General features: G+C 37.9%; 1 long non-coding RNA gene across 1 annotated transcript; it reads right to left on the reverse strand.

Moving 5' to 3' along the window:
- Positions 1-1,235: 1,235 nt before the first annotated feature.
- On the reverse strand, positions 1,236-7,608 carry LOC101928201 (uncharacterized). Its single transcript, NR_110390.1, has 3 exons — positions 7,544-7,608; positions 4,258-4,386; positions 1,236-2,225 (listed from the first exon to the last, which is right to left on the reverse strand). It is a non-coding gene; the product is annotated as an uncharacterized LOC101928201 (long non-coding RNA).
- Positions 7,609-18,976: the final 11,368 nt, after the last annotated feature.

The following is an 18,976-nucleotide window of genomic DNA, read 5'->3' on the forward strand; positions in this document are numbered from 1 at the left end:
AATTGGAGGAGTGGGAGAAAAACATCCCTGCCAATTTGGGAGCCAAAAATTAGCATCATGGATTCCAAGGTTATAGAATTTTAAAGCAGGAAATGTGAGTTCTTATGACTCCTCTGGTAGTTCCTTTAACCTCTTGATTCTTTACCAAATATGGATTATTTCATGCCTGGTAGCAAAAGTTCAACATATCGGCATCTACTTAGTGTTAGATACTTTCACAGTAATATATCAGTTAAATTTCACACACACACAAAGCTGTTGGGGCCTGTGTTTACTTTGTAACCATAAATTGATCACATATATATATATATATATATATATATATATATGAAAACTGTAAAATATATTTTTTATTATTTCAATAGTTTTTGGGGGTACAGGTGGTTTTTGGTTACATAGATAAATTCTTTAGTGGTGATTTCTGAGATTTTGGTGTTCCCCTCACCCAAGCAGTGTGCACTGTACCCAAGGAGTAGTCTTTTATCCCTCACTTCCTACCACACTTCCCCCTGAGTTCCTAAAGTCCATTGCATCATTATTATGCCTTTGTGTCCTCATAGCTTAGCTCCCACTTATAAGTGAGAACATATGATATTTGGTTTTTCATTCGTGAGTTACTTCATTTAGAACAATGGCCTCCAGCTCCATCCAAATTGCTGGAAAGGCCATTATTTCATTCCTCTTTATGGCTGAGTAGTATTCCATGGTGTATACATACATTTTCTTTATCCACTCCTTGATTGATGGGCATTTAGGTTGGTTCCACATTTTTGGAATTGTGAACTGTGCTGCTATAAACATGCATGTGCATGTGTCTTTTTGATATGATGACTTTTTGCCTTTGGGTAGTTACCCAGGAGTGGGATTGCTGGATTGATTCGTAGGTCTACTTCTAGTTCTTTAAGGAATCTCCTTGCTAAAAACTGTAAAATGATTTAAAATGGCAATCAAATATGACTTCTATCATTTAAGTCAGGCTAAGATAAGCTATGATGAGTTTTTCTTCATCTTGAATGAATGTGGATATACTTTTTCTAATAGTTTGACATTTTTAGTCATGTTTCAGTAAAAGCTTATGAATCCTGGTTTGTTTTCATCAAGGCATTGAATTCCCTGTCTTTGCAGCTGTGAAGACAAAGGCAAGAGGATAATTCGGTAGAATGTTGGATAAATGGTTGAACTAGGAGACAGAAACATAGATGAAATCATCATTAACCTTCCAATTCCAGAAAGAATCTGTTTTTCTAAGTATTATATCTATATTTTTATTGAAACAGATTACAAATATGGTTCAACAGTTCAAGGACATGATTTTTCCAAACTAGATCAGTAAATTTTTTGAAAATTTATAATAAAAAATGGTATGAATAAAGTTGGGGAAAGGATTTGGAGGTTTATAAATGGCTGGATATTAATCTTTCACTTAAAATATTCAAGTCTGGAGAACATTCCTTGTGGTTATAATTGGTAGAGTCAAATTTTTCTTTTAAAAAGTAGAAGAGGCTTAATTTTCTCAACTTTTTGTTTTTAGCATTTTATGCAATGAGCTACTTTCCACACCAGATGTTTTCCTGGCTCTGTTTTTATTTGATTTCCATCACCTGTGCTTCCTTGAAAGCACCAGAGGCTCACAAGCTGGCAATACTCCATCATGAACTAAAATTTGGTCTTGTGCCTATGCTACCTCAATCCTGACGTCTCACTCAAAGGACAGTGCCTAGTCCAAGGTTTCTGAACTCAGCCAAAATATGTACTTATAAAGAATTGAAAATGTTCCAGCAACTCAGCTCAGAGCAGTTGATGTGGAAAATATATTTATGGAGGAAAACTACAAAAAACTCCCTGAAATGGTATTGGTCTTACTAGACTAAATTCTAATACAGCCACAGTCTTTCACATCATTTGGGGCAGGGGAGGTCAATGTTGTATAAAAATATTGTCACTCTAGTCCATTAAAATCGTTCATAAAGATACTCCAATAAGTTTTAAAACTGTACATTTCATGACCTCTACTAAGGCCATGGAAACCTTGAACTGTGTAGCAGATGTAAATTTTGCTCTTCAACGTCAGGCATAAGCAATGAAGCATTGTTTTAATGTTCTTGGTCATACCTTGCTATGAATTTAAAGAAATTTGCCTAAAAGGGGGAATGTCTACATTCAGCCACAGATGTTGGCGAAGTGAGCCTGAGAAGGAGAAGTTTTCAATAGCTTTGTCCCCATTCCTGCAAAGTGAAGAAGAGAGAGGATGTAGGTTAAACATAATGGTATGGTCTAAATCAAGCTTGTTCAGCCCCGCAGCCCACGGGATGTGTGTGGCCCAGGATGGCTTTGAATGAGGCCCAACACAAATTCATAAACTTTCTTAAAGCATTATGAGATTTTTTTGTATTTGTTTTTAGATCATCAGCCATATTTAGTGTTAGTGTATTTTATATGTGGCCCAAGACAATGCTTCTTCTCCCAATGTTGTTCGGGAAGCCAAAAGATTGGACACCCTGGGTATAAATGTCTATTTTCCTCTAAAATTCCTATGTTGAAATCTAATCCCAAGGTGATGGAATTAGGATGTGAGGTATTTGGGAGGGTGGTTAGGTCATGAGGGTGGGGCCTCATGAATGGGATCAGTGCCCTTATAAAGGGACCCCAGAGAGTTCCCTCGCCCCTTCCACCATGCGAGGACACAGCAAGAAGGCGCTGTCTATGAACCAGAAAGCAGGTCCTCACCAGACATCGAATCTGCCAAGCCTTGATTTGGACTCAGCCTCATAAACCATGATCAATCAGTGTCTGCTGGTTATAAGTCACACAGTCTGTGGTTTTGTGCTGTAGCAGCCCGAATGGCCTAACACCTATAATCATGCTCCCTGCAAGTAGAACCAGAAATACATCTCTATTCTGACTTATTAGACCTGTGTCTATGTACTATGTCTTGATAACCAGACCCACAGATATGTAGGTCAACATCCAAGCACAGAAGTGGTATCTGTTTCAGTGCCAATCATATGATGACAGGAGGTAGATGTGTAAGAATCAAGCCAGCTGCAGTTCCATCAGAGTTAAAGGACATTATAATATAACATACTTTTGTAATTTTCTTCTCTGAATTCAATTTTATCAAAAATATGTTGCATTACCTCAGACATTTCAGGATCAAACCTTCTACAAAAGGATATTTATTTAAAGCAAATAAAAATCCTTGTGAAATATAAAACCCAAGAGAACCGTGCGTAAATCATAAATCAGTTCATCAGAGAGAAATACTCAAGTGTTGTGTGTTTTGTGTTTTAATGAGAATCCCTCTCTCATCTACTGGCTTGTGCTCTTAAATAGGAAAATAAAATCTTACACTTTTAAAATAGTATGGACTAAACACTCCATGCATAGAAATTGTTCTCAAATTCCACTTTAATTAAAAGGGAAATACTGATGTTAAACTTTAATTTAAAATAATTTGAACACTTCTTTTGATGATCTGCTGAATATATCACTCATCATAAGCACATTTGTACTGATTTTCAAAATTTCTTGTACTGTGTTAATTTCATGGAGGCTGTAAGTATTTGGTACGGTGCAAAGATATTTAATGGTTCTTATGGATACTCCTAATGTCAGGTAAAAATCAGGAAGCACCTACACACACACATGCGCACACACACACACATTGACATTTTTTCATTCCCTGGGAGATCATAGAGTCTAGATTTAATGTTGGAAAATGAAATTCTCCTTCAACATTCGGTCTAATTCATATTCTCTCATTTGTGAGGGATCATTTCTGCCAGGGAATTGTCACCACGGTGTCTAACTACATCATTCCGCGAGTGCTATGTTCTCAGATGGTTCAAGAAAGCCCATAAAATCACCACTGACTTCAAGTTTGAGATGCCTTCAGATATCCAGTGAGACCTGATAGTGTTTAACCTTTCAGAAAAGCCATGTATAGAGACTAGGGAAGCTTTGGCTTGACGACAGTGGCACAAGGGCAGCTATTATGAGTGACAGTTGAACGCAGAGGAAAAAATGAGCCATCAGAGGGATAGCAAGAAGAGTTAGAACGGAAGATGAAGATCTGTGGGATATAAAATACGTGACACCATTTAAAAAGTCAGAAAATCCCTGTGTAGTGGCTTATGCCTGGGAGGGCAAGGTTGGAGGATCTCTTGAGGCAAGGAATTTAAGACCAGCCTCGGCAACATAGTGAGACCCTGTTGATACAAGACATTTTAAAAATTATCTGGGTGTGGTGGTGCACACCTGCAGTCCCAGCTACTCAGGAGGTTGAAGTGGGAGGATTGCTTTAGCCAAGCCCAGGAGGTTGAGGCTGCACTTTGCTGTGATGGTGCCAATGCACTCTGGCCTGGGCAACAGAGAAAGATTCCATTTCTAAAAAAAAAAATTAAAAAAAAGTCAGAAGATGAGTCAGAGCTATCCCAGCAACATGAGAAGGTCCCATCTCTTAAAAATAGGAAGTGAGCAAAGAAGAGGGTTAAACTACAAAAAATTTGTGTAAACACATGCTGAATAGAGGGTATGGCATGTTAATTACAGTGAATTGAACCCATAGATAAAGTGAGCACAGACATTCATCCCTGATGCCACCACAGTGTCTATCACAGCATGAAGTTCTAATTCCTAACAAGAAGGCATGTATGATTCACAAGAGAAATCAAGGATAAAGACAGGTTGTAGAAAAAAAGGTGAAGGATGAGTGAATGTAGCACGTGATTCAGGTGGATTTAAGAAATCTGTTGGCCGGGCACAGTGGCTCACGCCTGTAATCCCAGCACTTTGGGAGGCCGAGGCAGGAGGATCACGAGGTCAGGAGTTGGAGACCAGCCTGGCCAACATGGCAAAACCCCGTCTCTACTAAAAGTACAAAAATTAGCCAGGCATGGTGGCAGGCACCTGTAATCCCAGCTACTCAGGAGGCTGAGGCAGGAGAATCGCTTGAGCCCAGGAGGCGGAGGTTGCAGTGAGTCGAGATCACGCCACTACACTCCAGCTGGGGTGACAAGAGCGAGACTCCATCTCAAAAAAAAAAAAAAAAAGTTGTTGTTGCTGTTATTGTATTTTTGTATTTTGAGTTGTTAGGACTGTTGATTCTCTTTGTAAATTGAAGATATTACTTGGGGATATTTATACATAAAGGAGAAGAACAGAAACAGAGGTCCAGCACAGTGTCTATCACAGCATTAATTCCTATTTCCTAACAAGAAGACCTGTACTATTCACGAGAGAAGTGAAGGATAAAGACAGGTTGTGGAAAAAAAGGTGAAGGATGACTGAATGTAGCACGTGATTCAGGTGGATTTGAGAAATTTATTGTTGCTGTCACTGTATTTTGAGTTGTTAGGACTATTGATTCTGTTTGTAAAGGGAAGATATGACTTGGGGATATTTATACATAAAAGAGTAGAACAGAAACAAATGATGGAATAAGGATGAAAATAGAAAGAATGCAGGGAGTAAAAAACCGTGCCAAGGGAACAGCAAGCCTAATTTCATCCAACAGCTTTCTTTTTGAGACAGAGTGTCACTGTTGCCCAGGCTGGAGTGCAGTGGGGTGATCTCGGCTCACTGCAACCTCTGCCTCCCAAACTCAATCGATTCTCTGCCTCAGCCTCCTGAGTAGCTGGGATTACAAGCGCACGCCACCATGCCCAGATAATTTTTGTATTTTTAGTAGAGGGAGGATTTTGTTGTGTTGGCCAGGCTGGTCTTGAACTTCTGGCCTCAAGTGATTCACCCACCTCGGCCTCCCAAAGTGCTGGAATTACAGGCATGAGCCACCGTGCCTGGCCTCATCCAACAGCTTTTATCAAATAATGTGTAGTAGAGTTTATTCTTTCCTTTTACTCTGGTGTCAAATGAAAATTTTTTAGTTTTTGATTTTTTTCAAGATAGAGTCTCTCTCTGTCACCCAGGCTAGAGTTCAGTGGAATGATCATAGCTCACTGCTGCCTCAACTTCCTGGGGCTCAAGTGATCCTCCCACCTCAGCCTCCTGAGTAACTGGGACTACAGGTGCATGCCACCATACTGGGCTAATTTTTCCATTTTTAGTAGGAATAGGGTCTCACTATATTGCCCAGGCTGGTCTCAAATTCCTGGGCTCAAGAGATCCTTATGCCTGGGCCTCCCAAGGTGCTGGAATCACAGGCATAAGCCACCACATCCGGGTGAAAATTTTTGAATGTCGTGACAGCAACATTGGATTCTCACTCTCAGCCTTTGCCAAATGACCCCGTTTGTAGGATAGGGAGGCTGTGTCCAAATACTTGATTGAAATACAGTTAACTTAAGAGGACTTTGTTAATTTAATTTATAAGACTCTTTGGAATTTCAGTTCTTGAAATCAATGCAGAAATGCAAATTACATTGTAGAAAATTATCTGCCATTATGCTAAATCGTACAGCATTATATTTATGACCAGAGTTTTCTGTAAGGAGCAACAGTAATTAATCCTTCATTCTGAGCAAGAAGTTTCCTGCAATTTAAGTTTCTGTGGGCAAAGAAAACATTTGCTGGTGGATTAAAAGAATCTGTCAGTTTAACGTATAGGGGATGTTATAATTGAGACCAAAATATTAAGAAGCTTATATATGTAAGCTGAATCTCTTATATTATACTATATGTTAGTAACAAAGTTTATTTTATGGAGAAATAATTTATCAGAAAATGTCTTGTTTTATAAACTAAGGTTCATTTATTGTTTTAAAAGGTAAATTAAAATGATTAAATTTTGGTGAGAATGACCAAAGATATAAAATAAGTGAAATGATATAACACAAATAAAAAATTGATAATTTCTTTGATATCTACCGATAAAAATGGGTATACTATGTATCCCTATTCATATAAATTAAGTTGTTTTTTGTTGGGGTTTTCTTTTCGTGGTTTTTATTTTTTTGAGACAGAGTCTCACTCTGTCGCCCAGGCTGGAGTTCAATGGCATAATCTCTGCTCACTGCAACCTCTGCCTCCCAGTTCAAGCAATTATCCTGCCTCAGCTTCCTGAGTAGCTGGGATACAGGTGTGTGCCACCACGCCTGGCTAATTTTTGTATTTTTAGTAGAGACGGGGTTTACCATGTTAGCCAGGCTGGTCTCAAACTCCAGACCTCAAGTGATCCACCCAGCTCAGCCTCTCAAAGTGCTGGGATTACAGGTGTGAGCCATAAATTAAGTATAATTTGAACTGGCAACATCTACCCTCTTTTTTTATTAGATGTATTCATCATTAAATGGATTAATACCAGTTTATTTTATAGATGAAAGCAAACAAAAATAGGAAGTGTTTCGTGAACCTGGTAAATAAACCTTGAATATTTTTCTTTTTAATTGAGGTATTTTCTCTTTCTTCATGTCATGAGGGAAATTCTCGATTCAAACAGAAGAAATCTATTTGTCAAAGGTATTGCAATCATACCTTAAATTCTTTAGGCAACAGAGAGTTGAAGGAGACTGTATTAGTCCGTTTTCGCGCTGCTGATAAACACATACCAGAGACTGGGAAGAAAAAGAGGTTTCATTGGACTTACAGTTCCACATGGATGGGGAGGCCTCAGAATCATGGTGGAAGGTGAAAGGCACTTCTTATATGGTGGCAGCAAGGGAAAATGAGGAAGAAGCAAAACTGGAAACCCCTGAAAAACCCTTCAGATCTCGTGAGACTTATTCACTATTATGAGAATAGCACCGGAAAGACCAGCCCCCGTAATTCAATTACCTCCCCCTGGCTCCTTCCCACAACACGTGGGAATTCTGGGAGACACAATTTGAGTTGAGATTTCACTGGGGACACAGCCAAATCATATCAGAGACCAAAAATTCTCCTTAAATTCACCTCCAATTTTAGTTTGGAATTTCAGGAAGATGGTTGGTTTGTGTTTCATTCTCTGACGTTGTAGGCTTAGTAGCTTCCTCATTATTATAGCCTGGGATACAGATGCCTTAACCTGCTGTGGCTAGTTGAAGATGTGTTCACCTTTAGAGCAAAATAATTCTTCCTGAAATCAACCTAATCTCTTCAAAATCAAATCTTCAGGAAAATTATGCTTTACAGGTTTTATTGCTAGATCATTCTTCACCTAGTTCTCTCATTTATACATTCAATTAGCAGATTTGTTTTTCTTTAGAGACAGGGTCTTGCTCTGTTGCCCAGGCTGGCATTCAGTGGTGTGATAATGGCTCACTGCAGACTTCACTTCCCAGGCTCAAGCGATTCTCCTGCCTCAGCCTCCTGAGTAGTTGAGACTACAGGTGCATGCCACCACTCTTAGCCAATATTTTAATTTTAATTTTTAGTAAAGTAGTTTTATTTTTAGGCAACATAGCAACACCTAGTTTTTATTTTTAGGTTTTGCTGTATTTCCCAGGTTGGAGATTATTTCTCTTAAGCTTTAAGTCTGTAATACAGACATGTGGGTCTGTTCCTTAACTTTCTTTAATACAGAGTCTATCTATATCTTGTCTATATATCTCTATATTGCTATAGAGATAGATTGCTAATTGGTAGATGATAAGTATATAAATCTGGATAGATACATAATTGATACATAGATGATAGACAGATACATCCTTTAGTCTAATCAAAATAAGTGGTACACATCTGATTTCTAGGTGGAATAGCATTATTTTCTGGTGTCAGAGAAACCAGTGATTTAAAAGTAAGTATGAACTTTCAATATCTTAGTTTCATGCAGATTATGTTCCTTTTACACTTCTTGGTTCATCAGAAACATATGCTGTGCGAGGTGGAAGGATGTCTGATTACAGGGTATAAAACCTTCAGGGTGAAACATATTTCAATACCTTATTAATGTTTCAAGCTCCATGTCTTTTTCATGGCTGATGCATTTTTGAATGTTATGAAAAGCTTTAATGGAATAGAAGCACAAAAGATGGTAAACAAAATTATCTTGTATTTGAGAGATACATAAATCAAATTTTGTAGATAGAGGTTGAAAACTGTTACTATTTTTAGGGAGATAATGTTATTGGCTTGCAGTCATCTTTACTCCTGTTCCTAATTATATCGTTCTTTGAGTTGGTACTAATCCTATTGCCCAGCTTTATTCAGGAAATTTTGCACCCAGAAAGCAGTTGGGCATTTATCTTATAATTAATGAAGCTGTCTTTCATTTGTGCTACACTTTGAATTAGACAGAAGAAAGCCTGTAGATGATTTCTGCTAGAGGATAAGTAGATAGCTTTGACATGGTTCTTACCCTGTTTGTTGCATTTAAAAAGGGCAGGAGTGGTTCAGTGACAAATGGAAATAATTGTCATGCTGCACTATGCACATGTATCCAATATAAGAATCATTTCCTTTGTAAATGTACTGAAAAACAAAACACACACACACACACACACATACACACACACACACACACACACACACACTGTATTGATCTGTTCTCATGCTGCTAATAAAGACATACCCGAGCCGGGGTAATTTATGAAGGCAAGAGGTTTAATAGACTCACAGTTCCACATGTCTGGCGAGGCCTCACAATCATGGCAGAAGGTGAATGAGGAACAAAGGCAAGTCTTACATGGTGGCAGGTAAAGAGACCGTGTGCAGGGGGACTGCCCTTTATGAAACCATCAGATCTCATGAGACTCATTCACTATCATGAGAACAGCATGGGAAAAACCTGCGCCCGTGATTCAATTACTTCCCACCACGTCTCTCCTGTGACAGTGGGAATGATGGGAGCTACAATTCAAGATGAGATTTGGGTGGGGACACAGCCAAACCATAACACACACACACACACACACACGTGCACACACACCCACCCCTCCTTTTGCATTACTCCTTCAAATACCGTCATTCTGTAGGATCAATCATTTCCATTCGTCCCTCACAATCTTTCCACAGTCCTGTGGATTATAACTTTCATAAGGGCAAGTTTTGCCATTCCACAAAACATTTGCCAAAAATGTAGAAAAATGTATAAATATATACGCCATAACATTTTTTAGGCACAATACGTAATTATTATTATTTTTTGAGATGGAGCTTCACTCTTTTTGCCCAGGCTGGAGTACAGTGGTGTGATCTCAGCTCACTGCAACATCCGCCCTCTGGGTTCAAGCAATTCTCCTGCCTCAGGCTCCTGAGTAGCTGGGATTACAGGTGCCCACCACCACGCCTGGCTATTTGTGTGTGTGTGTGTGTGTATTTTTAGTAGAGACGGGGTTTTAACATGTTGGCCAAATTCCTGACCTCAGGTGATCCACCTGCCTTGGCCTCCCAAAGTGCTAGGATTACAATACGTAATTTTATAAGATAGCTGTATGAGATGTTTAATAATTGCCTATATTTAGAAAAAAACATTTTTATAGAGTGAGATTCAGTATCTAATTCATTAAAAGTCAACAAGTGAAATAAGTAGGAAATGAAGAAAAATGCAAAGCGGTTGTAAATAGAGGAGGCAATATAATATTATGAATGCAAGAACACTGGTATTTCAATTAAGTATAGAACAAGGAGGCTGGGCATGATGGGTCACACCTGTAATCCCACTGCTTTAGGAGGCTAATGTGGGAGGATCCCTTGAGCCCAGGAGTTTGAGACCAGTCTGAGCAACACAGCAAGACTCACTCTCTACAAAAATTTAAAGAAAAATAGCTTGATGCACTGGTATGTACCTGTTGTCCCAGCTACTCAGGAAGCTGCAGCAGGACTGCTTGAGCCCAGGAGGTTGAGGCTGCAGTGAGCCATGATTGTGCCACTGCAGTCTAGCCTGGGTCACAGAGCAACATCCTGTCTCAAAAAAATAAACAAAGAGCAAGTAGGCAAGTAGTTGGTTAAATACATTCAGAGGAAATAGAAAGAATGTCTTAAAATATTTAGAAGGGAAAAACTTGTATTTGTCAATATTTTATAACAATTAGCATCCAGCAGTGAATTCATATTTAGGACATGATGAATACTACATTGTGTTTCGTTATAGAATATTACTATTTTTTATTTCTCATGTGCGATTAATTAAAATTATCAAATAGTTTATGTCATATATATACACCATTGATCAACAAATATTTATGCAGCTTTAATTGGTGCCATATATCATATTATTCATTAAAGAGACAGTGTTCCAATTTTAATTGTTCTCTAATTTAAGATAAGAAACCATTATTCAAAAAGCAAAATAAAAGTCTGTATTTTCAAATTTGTTCACATAGGGAATGAAAACTTCCCCTCTCAATGGAAACTCACATGATAAAAATTAAAAGAAAACTACTAGGCAGGAATTCACATGTATCTTTTTATTTATAATTAAAAATTTGACAAAAATATCTGTTTGTCATACTGAAAATAAGTTACTTACCAGTTTGTGGAAAAGACTTGGAGGCTTGATAATTTAGTTTCAGACGCATAACTTTCCAATACATCTTTCTGTTTCTCCTCCATGTTTCTTAAACAAATATTTAACTGCTGAGTTGGGAACAGAACATCATTTAGTTGACTTTACTTTTTGTGAAGATAGTACAGCAAAACATTCTTAATGTTATTTTAGAGTAGCTGAATCCCCAAGCTGGTAAAAAATAAGTTCAGTATTTATTATGCATATACTTCAGATTTTTAAATTATTTGTAACATTATTTTATTTCAATTCATACCCCCTTTCCATACATACATATATATGAATCAAAGACATTTATTAATTAGCCAAAAGTCTTAAGGAATAGCAATAGAAGCAGTTTCTCTGACTTTAGTTTGACGATCTTCTCTGTATTTCGTGGTTGCCATTTAATGAAATGTACACTTATTTGAAAAATAAGTGCAAAAAACTTGAAAGAAAAACTTTACATACATTTATTAGCAAGCATGAAAAAACATTAATGTTACCTTACTTGCCTCTAGCAGGCCTTTCCAGGGGACAACTTCACCTTTAAGGAAACATCATACTACAAGGGAAATGTTTGGAAAATAATAAAATTGTATATTTTCCCATTAAAAATATATAAGAATGAAAATGCCTTCAAATTTATATATTTTTGAATGGCTTGGTTAAATGGGCAGACTTTTCATAAAGAAAGACGTGGAAAAACAAATAACTCAGGCTGCATTATTTAGCCAAAAGGTTAAGATGCTGAAATATGAAAGTCTAAAAACCAAAAGCTCTAAAAGAAAGAATTTGTTTGTCTTCCATTTCTGAGTTGGTGGCTGTCTCAGTTCCACAGAGTCATGCAGAGCCCCAAGCTATGAATAGCTTCGTGATTTTCAACTACATTTTAACAAAGCCCCACTTGTTGTTGAGTCCAGTCAAGTTAGGGGTTGGGAAGGGATATAAAGGAGGTCTCCAGCTGTTTACATACCCAATATAAGACCTTTATATACTCCATGTCGGCAAGCTCCTTTTTCTTTCATAATCTGGGTTGGTGGCTGGCTCGGTTCCACAGAGTGATGCAGGAACCCGGACTATTTATGGCTTTGTCCATTTCAACTATATATTTTCTGAAACCTCACTTGTGCTTGATTGTAGTCAATCTAGGAGGTGGGATGAGCATATAAAGGAGGGACTCCAGCTGTTTATATACCCCATATCAGCTCTTTATATATCCCATGTCTGCTAGCTCCTTTGTCTTCCACGATCTGGGTGGTTGGCTGTCTTGGTTCCACAGAGTGATGCAGGACCCTGGGATACTAATAGCTTTGCCATTTTTAACAGCATATTTACATAGCCCCACTTGTGGTTGATTCCATTTAATTTGGGGGTAAGGCACAGGTAGGAGAAATTCCAGTTTTTTAGGTACCCCATGCTAGCTCTTTGTAGACTCCATGTCTGCAAGTTTCTTTGTCTTTCATAATTTGGGTTGGTGAGTGCCTCAGTTCCACAGAGTGATGCAGGACTCCAAGCTCTTAATAGCTTTGTCCATTCCAACTACATCTTTTCCAAACCCCCACTTGTGGTTGATCCCATTCAGTTTTGAGGGAAGGCACAGGTAGGAGAAACTCTAGCTGTTTCTATATCCCCATGTCAGCAAGAGAAGCACATCACTTCCACTTGTAATTAATTAGAGAGAACTTAGTCATTCAAATTACTGCAACACAAATTCTGTCAGCTTAGTCTTTGGCTTAACCATATCCAGCTCTCAGCTCATAATTAGAAAAGGGAGAAATAGCTTTGGTTTATTTAGAACAGGTAGTTCTTTGCCATAGAAGGAACAACCTGTGGAATGAAACACCTGAAAGCAGAAAACTTTCTTTGGCGGTATATTTAATTTTCTTTGGGGTATTCAACCGTAATAGGATTATTATAGAACTTTGACAAGTTGATTTATTTGTAAAAGAATATTATAATCTGATATGGTTTGTATTTGTGTCCCTTCCCAAATCGCTTGTTGAATTGTAATCCCTAATGTTGAAGGTGGGGCCTAGTGGGAGGTGAATGGATCATGGAGGTGGATTTCTTCCTTGGTACTGTTATGTTAGTGAGTGAGTTCTCATGAGATCTGGTTGTTTAAAAGTGTGTGGCACTTCTTCCCTTCTCTCTCTTCCTCCTGCTCTGGTCATGTAAGATGGGCCTGCTCTCCCTTTGCCTTTCACCATGATTATTAGTTTCCTGAGGCCTCCCCAAAAGCAGAAGCCGCCATGCTTCCTGTGCAGCCTGCAGAACCGTGAGCCAATTAAATCTCTTCCCTTTATAAATTACCCAATCTCAGGAACTTCTTTATAGCAGTGTGAGAACAGACTAATATATAATCATACTATGAAAAAAATCTGTAAGAGTTTATCCGTTGGTACGTGGTTTGTGTTCTATGTGAATCTTGATAGCATAACCTACCTCAAGGTTGAAATAACAGCTTCCTAAGATATTTGTGTGTTTACTTATAACAACAGCAGAACATCATGGTGACATTTTTAAAAAGTAATATTCAGAAAGGGACATGTCTGATTTTAACCTTTTCAGTAGGAATTGGTTACATGAAAGTTTGGTTGCAATTCAAAAAGCAAATGAATAAAAAATGATTTCCAATACTGCAATTGTACCCACTGTGTTTATTTTGCTTTCTTTTACTATAGAAAAGAACCCATAGAAAACATTGCATTGAGTCTCTGTCATATCAATTATAGAGTTGAAAGCTCTTTACCAACTTTCTTAATAGTGCAGTCTCTTTCTGTCCAAACATTTTTAAAATGCAGTAACTCTATGTATTACTGACAAGTACTATGGAGTCCTTTAAACCAATCATAATATGATGTTTCATGAAAATGAATAATTCAACTCATTTTTGGATGTTGTTTCTTCAAAACCTTCTTTCAAAACAATATATTGTCTTTAAAGATAAAGTAAAAATAAATGAAGATTCCCTGAAGATGGAGGCATGCTTTCTTTCTTTTTAAATGAAAGAATGTTTTCTACTATGTGATTTATAACCAAATTTAGTTCTAAGAAGCTGCATCTATTTATGTCAAAACCACTCCTCTCATGCAAGACAGACTGAACACCTGAATAAAAACCAGGAGTTCAGATGTATTTCTTTGAAGTTATGACCTATTTTATTTCCCTGTTGTGTAACACTAACTCATTGTGACACAATCTTTGAGGGTTTATATCTTTTATAATTAAATTGCCCTGAAGAAAGTTCCCAGTCACAATCTTCATTCTTTTCAAATTTTTCTGCAATGGAGCACAATTAAGAATAAAGAATGCATCATGACACAGTGAAAATGCTAAAATTTCTTAAAGAGGTCAAACAAGTTTCAACATTCATATCATTAATTATGCTTTGAAGCACTGTCCTTTCTAAGTGACACTGTTTTTATTTTGAACAACATCTAAATTCAGGGAAAATAATCACTTCTAAAGACTATTTTTAGTTGAGCCTGCTTTCTTCGCCCAGTTTCTAATCAGAGGCTCTGCTATAAGTTGAATGTTTTTGTGCCCCCGAAATTCATGTGTTGACATCTTAACCCCCAAAGTGATAGTGTTAGGAGTGGGGGACTATGGTAGGTGATGAGGTCATGAAGGTGGAGCCTCATGAATGGGATCAGTGCCCTCATAAAAGGGACCCCAGAGAGCTCCCTCGTCCCTTCCAGCATGTGAGGACACAGCAAGAAGTCACCGTCTAAGAACCAGGAAGCCCTCACTAGACACTGAATCTGCCACGCCTTGATCTTGGACTCCCAGCCTCCAGAACTGTGAGCAACAAATGTCTGTAGTTTATAAGCCACCCAGGCTATGGTAGTTTGTATAGCACCCCAAACATACTATGACGGGTTCTCATACAATTTTTCGAAGATTCTTTATCCTCAGTAGACTGATGCAAAACTAACCCATCAATAATAGAGAAAAAAGGAGATTGAGACAAAAGATGAAAAAATGTTTGTCTGATTCCTGTTAGAATGTTGCTAATTTTTCCCTGTAGTTTTTTTCAATGTATGTATCCTTCATAATCTCTCTCTCTCTCTCCCTTGCTCTCTGTCTCTTGCTCTCTCTCTCACTGTCTCTCTTTTCTTTTCTCTTTCTTATATATCTGCTGCTGCTACACCTATGTATATATTTACATAATTGGGACCATATTATATTAAATGTTTTGTACCAAACCTTTTCAGTGAAAGTCACATGATAAAACCCTCTTTTAATGTATTTATCATTGAGGACTTAAGTGATTTTTAAAGTTTCGGAATGCTGTGAACACCCTCCTATAATAAACACAATTTGCCTCTTTGACTCATTACTTAGAATATATTCTTAGGAGTGGAATTAGTGAGTTTAAGAATGTGAGCTGGGCGCAGTGGCTCACACCTGTAATCCTAGCGCTTTGGGAAGCCAAGGTGGGAGGATCACTTGAGGTCAGGAGTTCAAAACCAGCCTGGCCAACATGGTGAAATCCCATCTCTACTAAAAATACAAAAAAACAAAAATTAGCTGGGCATGGTGTGGTGGCAGGCACCTGTAATCCCAGCTACCCGGGAGGTTGAGGCATGAGAATCAGTTGAACCCAGGAAGCAGAGGTTGCTGTAAGCCAAGATCGCACCACTGCACTTGAGCCTGGGAGACAGAGTGAGACTCCATCTCAAAAAAAAAAAAAAAAAAAAAAAAGAGTATGAACGTTTTAAGATATTTGTTACATATTGTGAATTGTTCTAAAAAATGTTTGCAGTAGCCAGATGCAGTGGCTCACACCTATAATGCCAGCACTTTGGGAAGATGAGGCAGGAGGATGGAGGTTGAGGCCAAAAGTTCAAGACTGGTCTGAGCAACATAGCAAGACTCCATCTCTACAGTAAACTAAACATTTTAAAAATCAGCTAGGTGTGGTGGTGCATGACTTTAGTCCTATTTATTCGGGAACCTGATGTGCAAGGATTTCCTAAGCCCAGGCGGTCAAGGCTGGAGCTATGAATGTGCCATTGTACTCCAGCCTAGTCAACAAAATGAGACATCATCTCTTAAATAAATATAATTTTTGGAAAAGTTTTCAGCAGTGCAGATTCCCTTGTCTAGTAGTTGTGTTGATTCACCTTTTTTTTTTTTGGCAACTATGGTAATTAGCATTTTTAATAAATTCATTTAAAAATAGATTTTAAGCAGCTGAATGTAAAAAAAAGAAAAAAAAGCAGATTAAGTTGTTGAAAATTGAAGTGTTACCTTAGCTCTTTGGGTTGAGGATGAATACCATCAGATTTGGGGCCTTTCCCACTTTCCTGTCTTACGTGTGAATGTCTGGGTACACGGACACTTCAGGTTAAGGATTCTGTCTCCAACTTTTATTTCCTGATAAAATATCAAATTTGATTTTTTCATTTCTGTGTTTTTTTTAGGCATAGGAAAATTATATATATATATTTACTTCCCATGAGAACACAATATGATTTACTCTTTTTCTTCTTATAGCAATGGCATGATTTCAGAGAAATATCCTTAGTCTCTGATATGGTTTGACTCTGTGTCCCCACCCAAATCACATCTTGAATTGTAGTCCCCATGTGCTGAAGGTGAGGCCTGGTGGGAGGTGATTGGATCTCCCTTGCCCTCTCACCTGCCACCATAAAAGATGGGCCTTGCTTCCCCTTCGCCTTCTGCCATGATTATAAGTTTCCTGAGGCCTCCTCCCCAGCCATGAGGAACTGTGAGTCAATTATACCTCTTTTCTTTATAAATTACCCAGTCTCAGGTAGTTCTTTACAGCGGCGTGAAAACGGACTAATACAGTCTCACACTCATTTTGTAGAAATCTAGCAACTGTAATTCGTAAAACTGCTATATTGAAGCTAACTGGAATCAAGCTTACTGCTTTCAGCTTCAGAAAAGCAAATCTTAGTAAAAAGAACAACAGCAACAAAAACAGACAACAAAGCTGCAGGTCGTGAGAGCTGCAGGAGGTACTTTTAGAGGGGAAGGGGGATTGTTAAATAATGAGATCTAGGAAAGCATCTTGAAGTCCATTGCTGAGAGAATATTTGAAATGTACTCTTTGCCAAAATAAATAATTCACTAAATAAATTTGTTAGTTAATTAAAATGATTTCTAATAAAATAATTACTTTTTTAAAGTCCACTTACTTTAAACAGTAAAAAAGTCTGTCTGGGAAGCTGCTGTCAATGACTTAAAAAAAACAAGCCTGGGTGTGGTGGCTCACGCCTGCAATCCCAGCACTTTGGGAGGCCGAGGCAGGCAGATCATGAGTTGGGAGAGAGAGACCATCCTGGCCAACATGGTGAAATCTCTACTAAGAATACAAAAATTAGCTGGGCATGATTGTGAGCGCCTGTAGTCCTAGCTACTTGGGAGGCTGAGGCAGGAAAAGCACTTGAACCCAGGAGGCAGAGGTTGCAGTGAGCCGAGATTGTGCCACTGCACTCCAGCCTGGCCTGGCAACAGAGCGAGACTCTGTGTCAGAAAACAAACCAACAAACAAAAAACCCAAAAACAAAACAAACAGAAAAAAAAAAAAAAACACCACCAATAGCTATCAGACTAGTCATATTTCCATATACATAATTTGTGTTAATTCAACATCAATATCCCCAATACAGCCTTATGAAAGATTAAGGGACCAAGAATTTCCCTGATGCTGGACTCTGTTCTGTGGCATCTCCCACACACCTGTATTAATTTGCATCCCATTGTCTTTAACATACAGAGGAACTTCTCTGCTCTGTGGAATTTGCAACATCAGGAAGCCTCAGTTTTCCATTCTAACCCTTCCACTTCAAGGAGTGTCATATTTCCACTCAATTTTACTGATTCTACCATTAAAAAAAAAAAAACAAACACATTCTATTCTTAGTTCAGAAGGATACTAAAGGGTCATTTTATAGTTTTCATTTTTTAGTTATTGTTATCTCTTGCCAGATTTTATTTTAATTCATTTTATTCATAGAATTACATGTTCCTTTACAGTATAACCTTTTGGCTATGTTTTATATTACTTCCTATTACACATGTAATTTATAATTATATCCTCACTGTAAAAAGAACTAAATAATACAAAGTAATGTAAAATAGAAGACTTTCCTTTTTCTTATTCCCAATGAATTTCAGAGATGACTCCTTTAATCAATTAAAAGTTTGGCTATGTATCATTCTAGCCATTTCCTTTATTTACATACATCTGTCTATATATACATACATTTAATTTTTTGAAGGTAAATAGAATTCTGATGGTTAAATTTATATGCCAATTGGCTGGGCTGTGGTGCCCAGTTGTTTGGTCGAATAGTCTAGACGTTGATGTGAAGGTACTTTTGTAGATGGGATTAACATTTACAATCAGTAGACTTTAAGAAAGAAAGGCAACCTTTCATAATGTGGTTGGATTTCCTCTGATTGGGAGCAAAAGGTGAAGGTTCTCGAAAAAGAAGAAATTCCACCTCAGGAGTGCAACATAAGAATTCATCCTGAGTTTCCAGCTTGTCTTGTAGATTTTGGATTCAAGGTGGCAACTCCTGCCTGAATTCCCAGCCATCGCGGCTGCCCTACACTGTACAGACTTGCCAGTCCCCACGA

The sequence above is a fragment of the Homo sapiens genome, chromosome X, assembly GCF_000001405.40.
Source record: "Homo sapiens chromosome X, GRCh38.p14 Primary Assembly".
In the NCBI taxonomy this organism is placed as follows: domain Eukaryota; kingdom Metazoa; phylum Chordata; class Mammalia; order Primates; family Hominidae; genus Homo; species Homo sapiens.